A 9,984-nucleotide genomic window follows, 5' to 3' on the forward strand; every position below is an offset into this window, starting at 1 on the left:
GTATGTGACCCAGCGTTGTGAGCTCAGTGTGGTGCTCCTGGAGTGCCTGGCCCGGAGTGCCTGCTGGTGTGTGTGTGGTATGTGTTTGGCATCATCTGTCTGAGGTTTTGTGCATAGTGTTGTGTTCCCACAGTGTGTGCTGGCATTAGTGCCTGGACTTGTGTGTGCCTGGCATTGCACCCTGGCTTCTGTGCCCAGCATGGTGTGTCCCAGTGTTTTGTGCCCTACAGTGAAGCTCAGCATTGCGTTTGGTGTGTGTGTTCAACATGTGTTACAAGCATGGGTTCTTGCCGTGTGTGCATTGTGTATGTGATGCTGTGTCCCTAGAGTGTGTGTAGCATCTGTGCCTGGTGTGTGCCCGATGTTGTGTTCCTGCAGCGTCTGGTGTTGTCCCCAGTGTGTGCCAGTGTGTATTCCCAGTGGGTGTGCCAGCTTGTCGGTCATGGTATGCCTGACCTTGTATGCCCAGAGTTGTGTGTCCAGTGTGTCCCCAGCTTCAGTGTCTGTGGCTGGAGAGTGTGTCTTTCCTTCTGTGTCTGGTGTTGTGACCCAGCATGGTTTGTGTGGCTGTGTATGCTTGGCAAGCGTGCCCACTCCTGTGTGCCTGGTGCTGCGTGACTGGCACGTGTACCTCGAATTGTTTGGCTGACAGTGTGTGCCCAGAATTTTGTGCCCACTGTGTGGGCCTGTGTTGTGTCCTGTGCTGTGTGCTCTGTTGTTAGCCCTGTGTGTGTGCTCTGTGTGTCTTGTGCTGTGTGTCCTATGCTGTGTGGCCTGTGCTGTGTCCTGTGTGGTGTGCCGTGCACTGTGTGCCCTGTAGTGTGTGTCCTGTGCTGTGTCCTGTGTGGTGTGCCGTGTGCTGTGTGTCTTGTGCTGTGTGTCCTGTGCTGTGCGCCCTGTGTTGTGTACCCAGTACTTCTGTGTGTCCTGGGCTGTGTGTCCAGCACATGTGTCTGCTGCCCCACTGTGCTGAGTCCCAACACCCACCTGTGCGCCTGGCACTGCCTCGTTGTTGGGGAGGACACCCTGTGTGGCCGTCCTCGCCACCTGCTCGAGCAGAGCTGAGGATCCCATCGTGGCCTCTGCCCTCACTTCCACCGCAGTTTGCCTTCCTTCCTGGGGACACTCCTGCCTGGCAGCTCCCCATGTTTAGCCTGTTCCAGGGATCAGCTTCCACCCCAGGCACTCTCCATTTATTTGGGGAGTTCCCACAGGATGAGGCCCTTAAGGGAGTCCCTCCTCTCTACTGGGGATACCCCTGAGCAGGTGGGGACTCCTGTCCTTCATTCAGCTCATCCCCAGCCCTGGCTGGAGCTTTCCCTCCTTTGCGGAGGTGGGCTCAGGCAGGCCTCGCTGGGGAGCTCACCAGGCCCTGTGCGTGGGGCTCTGCAGGCCCAGCCAGTCCTGACTCTGCCGTGAGCCCCGCACCAGGATGGGAAGTGCCCTGAGAGCTCATCTCCTACCACCTCCAGGGCTGGGGCTGGCGCCTCCTCCAGCCTGGCATCTGGCCGCGGCGGTCTCCCCAAGCAGCCACCAGGGGGCAGAGCCACCCTCTGTCCACACCCCGATCCTCCCTCACCCCTTCAATTGCTGGACAAGGGACCCTTGCCTGAGGACGCCCTCGGATCCCTCCTGTGAGACAAGGAGCTGCAGATAACCCCAACCTCTACACAGACAGAAAGGAGCAGATTTCATAAAAAGCAGGGAATTTTTAAAATGTGAGTAATTTTTAAAAATACAATCTCCGCGTAAAACCCACTTAGAAAACCTTGTGCTTTCTGATTAATAGAGAGCAAATCACTTACCCAGGGCTATTGGATGCTGTAATTTTTTAAGGTTTTAAATATGCTTTTATTTGTTTCCCCCTGATGGTCTGAGGCTTCTATTCTTGCTAACTTTTTAGTTCTCCTTGTCCTGGGGACACAGGGTATGGGGCAGGACCTCCCTGGATTAAAGGAAGTGAGTCAGACATGCCACCGCCCGCAGGTTCCAGGACAGTTCTGGTCTGAATGCAGTCCCGACGCGAGTGCTGTTCCCTGGGAGCTGAGACCCGCAAAGATGCCCTTCCACCACCCTCTCCCCACGGTTCTTTCGTGCTGCTGCGTTCCTGGAGGCTGAGCTTCTGTCCCATCCTGTCTCCTTTGTGTGTTTCAAACCTCTTTCCAATTTCTGTTATACTGATGCTGTTCTCCTTTCCGGTACTATTACATGATTTTCTTCCCATTTCTCATGATTCAGAGCCCATGGTGGGTGAGGGGGACAGTTGGGTGGTCCACACCTGAGACTTCATGCATCCTGTGAGGCTGAGTCACAGGCCTGGGGGTCCTTGAATCCCTCTTATCCCACAAGGGAGATCCTCCTGGAATCTCAGCAGATTGGAGAGCCCAGCTGAGAAGAATCTGCTGTCCTATTAGTGCCCTTGGTTTTGAGGTGGCTGTAAAATCCCTTGCTAGAGGCGGAAGAGAGAGGATCGCACCCCAGTATCGGACTGCTGTGGGCAAGTTGGTGAAATCAAATGTATTGTTACTTTCTGAGAATCAGCACCCACATTTTCTGCATTTAAGGATTTTATGGAGCACAACGAAATCCACAGCAGTCACAGCAACTGAGAGAGAACGCCAGGCCACACTCCCTAGGCATTCCTGGAGAGGTGTTCTATGCCTTAAGGATGAACAATAGAGAATTTGATTTAAAAAATTGATGGAAAGTTAATGTTGAAAGAAGTCAGGGTGAAATAAAAGCATGAGATGCTGTATGGGATGTGAAGATTTCTAGGAGACAATAATAATAGACAAGCAAATGAAGACTGGTGTAGAGTGAAAGTTAGGTGGCCAGGATACGACAAGGGCACTGCAGCCAGGATTCCTGTCCCGGGGACAATCGGCACAAAGAGTCTGCACCCGGGAGGACAGGGGCCTTCAGTGTGTGATCTGTACTGAGGGTCTGCACCTGAGAGGACAGGGGCTTTCAGTGTGTGATCCCTACTGAGAGTCTGCACCTGGGTGGACAGAAGCCTTCTCTATGTGATCGGTACTGAGGGTCTGTACCTCAGAGGACAGGGGCCTTCAGTGTGTGATCTGTACTGAAGGTCTGCATTGAGAGGACAGGGACCTTCAGTGTATGATCTGTACTGAGGGTCTGCACCTGGGAGCACAGGGGCCTTCAGTGTGTGATCTGTACTGAGAGTCTGCACCTGGGAAGACAGGTTCCTTCAGTGTGTGATCCGTACTAAGGGTCTGCACCTGGGAGGACAGGGCCCTTCAGTGTGTGATCTGTATTGAGGGTCTGCACCTGGGAAGACAGGTTCCTTCAGTGTGTGATCCGTACTGAGGGTCTGCACCTGGGAGGACAGGGCCCTTCAGTGTGTGATCTGTATTGAGGGTCTGCACCTGGGAAGACAGGTTCCTTCAGTGTGTGATCCGTACTGAGGGTCTGCACCTGGGAGGACAGAGGACAGGGACTTTCAGTGTGTGAACTGTACTGAGGGTCTGTACCTGGGAGCACAGGGGCCTTCAGTGTTTTTTGTTTGTTTGTTTATTTGTTTTCTGTAATGAGAGTATGCACCTGGGAGGAGAGGTGCCTTTGGTGTTTTTTTTTCCTGTACTAAGGGTGTGCGCCTGGGAAAATAGTGCCTTTTGTGTGTGATCTGTACTGACAGCGTGCTCCCATGATGACAGGGTCTTCAGTTGTAATCTTCTCTTAGAGTTTGCAAATGTTTGGACATTGTGTCATCTTTTGATGTTTGGTATTGAGTGTCTATATGGGTGAAGTTAGGGGCCATTTTTTTGTCACTTGCACTGAGAGTGTGCACACGAGACCTGCGTTCCTTCCATGTGTTATTTGTGCTGAGAGTCTGTGTGTTCTGAAAAGCCCCTTCACTTTGTTTTTCACTAATACTCTGCACATTTGAGGACAGGGATCCTTCTTTGTGACCTGTAGCGACCATCTGCACCAATGAAGGAAAAAGGCCTCCAGCATTTGATCTTGCTTAGATTGTTGCTTTGTGTGGATGGGATGGATTTCTGCATAGATCATTCTCAGTCTGTTTTTGTACAGAGATGATTGATTTGCTTTTCTATTCTCTGATCTGTGTCATCTCATGCTATCCTCAACTTTACTTGCTTTACATATAAATTGAGTATTGCAAAATTAAGTAAACTCTTAATAATGAGAAGTAAACTTCTTAGTAATTCTTAGATGGGCTTAATTACAACCTTTCATCTTACTGCTTTGTCCTTGGCACACACTAATTACTTCCTGAGTCATCTGGTTTTGGTTTCCTTATGCTGTTGCTATGATCATTCAATGGATCATGGATGTAGAAAGAGTATCTTGCTCCCCTGGAATACTCACAGATGGAATGAGCTTGTTTTGTATCTTGGAATGGTTTAGGGAGCCACAGACGGACAAGGAAGATTTTGCCTTCTATGCCACAGTAGAAACATGACAATGTACGGGGATGGGAACAGCCTGGTGTGCTCAGAGACCAGACTAAGCTTTAATTTAATTGTAATAACCCTGGTGATTTGGGGAATGAGGGTTAGAGATTGGACAATGTGAACTGGAGACAGATTCTGAAGGACTGGTAGAGTTTGGATTATGGAAGGGTTTAAGCACTTGCAAACAAAATTGATTTTTTTGTTCTTACTCACACCAATGTGTGTTCAACTGGGGAAAGATCGTAGAGGTAACTCCTGAAGAAATTACTGTGGTGGGTCCAATGGGTGCAATAGATTTGGATCCATAGAACTTGTCCTGGTGGAAGATAAGGCAGGCATCAAACAGGGGTGGAGAGCAGATGGGAATACTGTGTTTCCTTATTGATCAAGGAGAGGGAGGGAAAGGAAGAGGGACTCCCAGTGTGCAGGGGCAGAGAGCAGTGTAGAGCTCAGATGTCTTTCTGGTCCAGGGTTGACCTTGGAATCATATATCTGCTCACGTGTCTTTTTATTTAAGACATCTTTTGCCTATAGGTGAGGGGGCGAGAGGACCTTCTCCCAATTAAATAACAATAATAATAGTAATGACTTTTTAACGGCATGTCCTAAAGTCTATTATTAGAATATAGTACGCCTGCTGCAGGCTCATAACCTCATTAACTTGGAAATAATGCAGTATGGGCAATTAGGATGATAAACCACTTATGCAATTTCATAGTATGACATTAATGAATGTACTTGGGAAGCATTTCCTTAGCACCAAGGCCACAGGAAAAGTCAAGGGGAGACAGGTGCCAGTGGATGTAAACAGTACAGATCAGTGGAGGGCCGTATATTTGAAAGCCTAGCTGTGTGTTGGTTGAGTAGGTCCCTTCCAAACTATGCTGTGCAGGTTATGATGGGGAAGGGAACAGAGACAGCCCAGCGCCTTGCGGACGGGGCAGGAAGGCTCTGGGCTCTACAGCACTGGACATCCAAAGTTTCCTCTATGCCTATACCCTGGGGTCTCTACCAAACCCAATTCCTGGGTAGAGAATGCTCACCTTAAAGAAATGCTGGAAATCCAGAGACCCTTACACTGGTTCATAATTAAGAAAGCAATGCTGACAAAATCCCAACAGGAGCCCCATGCAGAGGATCTTGGCTGGCTATGTCTTTTAGTGATCCAGAACAGTGCCTGGAAAAGCCATTAAGAAATTACGAGTTGAAGATTAGCTGAGAAAAGGCAAGAAATTGAATGAAGTCAGTCTAAGTGTGCCATCAGGCATTTTTCTAGCTGTCTGCTCAGAAAGGTCTTTAAAGGGTGACCAATCAGCATGTCAGAGATGAAATTGGATGCTGTGAGAATCTCAGGTAAGCAGCCCATGAAAAGGAGGGAGCTTTCCAGATATGCCTTCTTCCTGGAGACCTTTCCTCTCTAGTGCATGTTTATGGATGGTTCAGGATCCAGGGGCATAAAATTCAGCCAATTTACAATAAGCAGAAAATATTGGCAAGATTTCACTTAGGAGATTGCAGATCCAGGTGTGTGAATCAACCACAAACACCACCACAGAGTACTCATGGTGGATGGTGCCCCCACACCAGTGCCCAGGACAGGCAAACAGGCTGTCAGTTCTGCCCATCTGATGCTAGACACCCAGATGGAGCTCTGCACTGCACCAGGCCGTGTGTGATGCTCACTGGAGGGCCTACGCACAGCCTTTCCTCCCGGGGAACTATGGCCATGTCTGCCGAAAGAGGTAATTCTCTGACAGTACAGCAACTGGAAATGAGAAGGTCTCAGGGGAGCATGGAGTTATAGAAAAATGAAGCAGAAGACATTGAGGTTGTTTCCCAAGACCTGTTCCCAGAGACCTCATAAATATCTCTGTCCAAGAGCAGAGGATCCCGCTCCAGTGGCCTGAGCACTCCAGGCTCCAGTTTGCTTTTCTGTAGGCTCTATGCTCTTTCCTTAGGCTTATGGCTTCTTCCTTTTTATAGGAAACACTCCTTTTTTTTTTTTTTTTTGAGATGGAGTCCTGCTCCTGTCACTCAGGCTGGAGTGCAGTGGCACAGTGGCACGATTTTGGCTCACTGCAACCTCCACCTCCTGGGTTCAAGCAATTCTCCTTCCTCAGCCTCCCAAGTAGCTGGGATTACAGGCTTGCACCACCACGCCCGGCTAATTTTTGTATTTTTAGTAGAGATGGGGTTTCGCCATGTTGGCCAGGCTGGTCTCGAACTCCTGAGCTCAGGTGATCCACCCGCCTTGGCCTCCCAAAGTGCTAGGATTACAGGCGTGAGCCGCTGTGCTGGCCAGGAGACACTGCTCCTGATACATCCAAGCTACAGCCATGATGCTGTTGGCGTGAGCCTAGGAGATAGGTGCACGCTTCCCACTGGCACAAGCTTCCCTGTAGCCTCTCGAACAGTTCTGAAGCTGTGACTAAGGAGCAGCTATACCAAGGCCTCCCACACCCATATTTGTTCTCCTTCTTGTGGAGTGCTCTGTCGACCTGATGCAGGGTAAGGATTGGCCAGAGCAGATCCCCGAAGTCGTGTGACCCTGGCCCTATGAATCATCATGGAAAACAACTCCTCCTTGGGGAAGGTGCCTAAAAAAGAGGAGTTCAAGACACTTTATGCATAACCTAATATAATAGCTAAGGAACCCAGCAAAGCTGCTTGATTAAAAAGCTCTGTGTGTATAGGCCGAGCGCGGTGGCTCATGCCTGTAATCCCAGCACTTTCGGAGGCCGAGGCGGGCAGATCACGAGGTCAGGAGATCAAGACCATCCTGGCTAACATGGTGAAACCCCCATCTCTACTAAAAATACAAAAAAAATTAGCCAGGCCAGGTGGTGGGTGCCTATAATCCCAGCTACTTGGGAGGCTGAGGCAGGAGAATGGCATGAACCCGGGAGGCAGGGCTTGCAGTGAGCTGAGATCATGCCACTGCACTCCAGCCTGGGCGACAGAGCGAGACTCCATCTCAAAAAAAAAAAAAAAAGCTCTGTGTGTATATGCAAATGTGTGCACACATGGGAGGGAGTGCTGTGTGCGTGCTTCAGCAGGGCTGAGAGGAAGAACGGGAAGCTGGAGACAAGTGTGTCCTTGTTTTTATGATTATCTCCTAATAGTGTGTCAGTTAGGATTCTACAGGGAAATCGAACAAACAGAATGTTGCTGTAGTTTGGATATCTGACCCCTCCAAACCTCATGTTGAAATTTGCTCCCTAGTGTGTTGGAGGTGTGGCCTAATGGAAGGTGTTTGGGTCATGGCAGTGGATCTCTTATGAATGGCTTGGTGCTGTCCTTGTGGTAATGAGTCCTTGCTCTATTATTTCCCACAAGAACCGGTTGCTACAAAGAGCCTAGCATCTCGCTCCCCTCTCTCTTGCCTCCTGTCTTGTGATCTCTGCACACACGGACTCCTCTTCGCCATCTGCTATGAGTGGAAGCAGCTTGAGGTTCCTATCAGATGCAGATGCTGGCGCCATGCTTCCTGTGCAGGCTGCAGAACCATGAGCCAAATAAACCACTTTTCTTTATACATTACCCAGCCTCAGGTGTTTATAGCAATGCAAATGGAATAATGCAGGTGTATACACACAAGAGGCGATTCATTATAGAAACTGGCTCACGTGGTTATGGAGGCCAAGAAGTCCCACAATCTGTTGTCTGCAATCTGGAGAACAAGGAAGCTAGTGCTGCAATTCAGTCTGAGTCCAAGGGCCTGAGAACCAGGAGAGCAGATGTCCAAGGACAGGAGAAGATGGAGTCTTAGCTTAAGCAGAGAGGGCAAATTTTCTCCTCCACCTTTTTGTTACATGCAGGCTCTCAGTGGATTAGATGATGCCCACCCACATTGGAGAGGGCCTTCTTCTTGACTTAGTTCACCAGTTCAAACAATAATCTATCCTGGAAACACCCTCACAGACATACCCAGAAATGATGGTTTACCAGTTGTCTGGGCATTCCCTCACCCGGTCAAGTTAACACATAACATTAGCTGTCACACATTGTAAAGGATGAAATTCAGATCAGAGGATTGTCGAGGGCTGGAGGTAGGTCCTCAAGCTCACACTCCTGCCTTCACCCAGGAGGCAAGAGAGACTAGAAGTCCAGCTGAGGTGAAGGTGTAATGAGCCAAATAGAGTCAGGACTGAGACTCCAGCCTCCTGAATTCTACTGCATCAAACTTCCCCTGCACCTCTTGCAGATGCAGATTCCCACAGGCCCCTCTGCATCTTTGCTTAGGGTGCACTTCCCCACTCCCTGTCTGCCTAGATGAATACTGCATGGGCTGTTGAACAGCGTGATTGGGGTTGTACCGATATGCACATTCCATCCAGTCTGCCAACGTGAGTTGAATTAATTCCAATTTCGTTAAGGAAGCTGAGGACAACCTGAAGTTCTACTGAATGGAATCCTTTTCAGAAGAGAAGAACATTTAAGTAGATTACAGTTTGATATTGTTGGCCATTTTCTGTTGAATAGTGGAGGGATGGGGGTAGTGAGCTGCATCGCTTCATAGGGTGGAAAATGGCTTATTTCTGGCTCATCTGAAGTTCCATGGCTTTTTTGATATGATTAAACAAGGCATAAATGAAGCACTGGCACATGTTCAATGCAACAACACCCCTTTGTGAATCTATTATACACTGGGAACCGAGCTGTGTCCTCAGGATCTAAAGCTGAAGGAGGCACAGGCATCAGGATGGTGGCAATCTCGCAGCATCACTCCAATAAAGGAGGCATCTGGCATTGTGAGAACACAGACTAGAGAGCAATGCATACTTCCAGGAAGTGGATAGGCTTGAGACATGCTGGAGGCAGGAGGCAGCCTTTGACTGAAGCTTGGGGCAAACCAGTTGGGGCCTGGGACAGAGGGGGCAGATGGCCATGACTGCTGTGACTTGATTGGGGAGTGTCTGGACATGAGACTTGACAGGCCTGGGGCCTTCAAGGGGAGCCTCACGGGAAGCAGTCGTTGAAGACAGAAGTGGCAAAAAAAGAAAAAAAAATGTGGTTCCTTTTTTAGAACAAAGACTCTGGCCACAGTGCGGGGAGAGAGGGCACAGGCTGCTGTCTTTGCAGGAGTGTCAGGAACCTTGTAGAGAAGATGCCAGGCTGAGTCCGAGCCCAGCTGTGCAGGAGAGGAGGGACAGGTATGATGGATGTTTCTAGGGCAGAACAGACAGGAAGCGGGGGAGGGAAGGAAGGAAAGACGGAGGTGGGGATGCATCTGAGGTCTCCCGTTTGAAAGCTGGGAGAAGAATGACACCTTTTAATGAGACAGGCCAGTTGATGGAGGTTTGGGGAGAAGCAAGGTGTGCTCATTTAAAAAGTTTTATTTTAGAATAACTAGACTTATGGGAAAATTTCAAAATAGTACAGAGAATTCCAGTAAATCCTTCACCCAGCTTCCCCTAATTGTGAGCATCTACAGTGCGATGATCAAAACCAGGAAACAAACAATGATACAATATTATTATAAAAACTACAGAATTTATTCATATTTTTCCAGCTAAGCGGCTTATTTTTAGATCTCTGGGTTGAG

At 49.1% G+C, this 9,984-nt stretch overlaps 2 annotated features.

Moving 5' to 3' along the window:
- Positions 470-1,036: an enhancer, noted in NCBI's record as "H3K4me1 hESC enhancer chr15:32269149-32269715 (GRCh37/hg19 assembly coordinates)". NCBI's record gives its function as "activates a minimal SCP1, AML or CMV promoter by ChIP-STARR-seq in naive H9 embryonic stem cells {active_cell/tissue: H9 hESC(naive)}" and the evidence as "EXISTENCE:reporter gene assay evidence [ECO:0000049][PMID:30033119]".
- Positions 1,037-1,602: an enhancer, noted in NCBI's record as "H3K4me1 hESC enhancer chr15:32269716-32270281 (GRCh37/hg19 assembly coordinates)". NCBI's record gives its function as "activates a minimal SCP1, AML or CMV promoter by ChIP-STARR-seq in naive H9 embryonic stem cells {active_cell/tissue: H9 hESC(naive)}" and the evidence as "EXISTENCE:reporter gene assay evidence [ECO:0000049][PMID:30033119]".

Source organism: Homo sapiens, chromosome 15 (assembly GCF_000001405.40).
Source record: "Homo sapiens chromosome 15, GRCh38.p14 Primary Assembly".
NCBI classification, from domain to species: domain Eukaryota; kingdom Metazoa; phylum Chordata; class Mammalia; order Primates; family Hominidae; genus Homo; species Homo sapiens.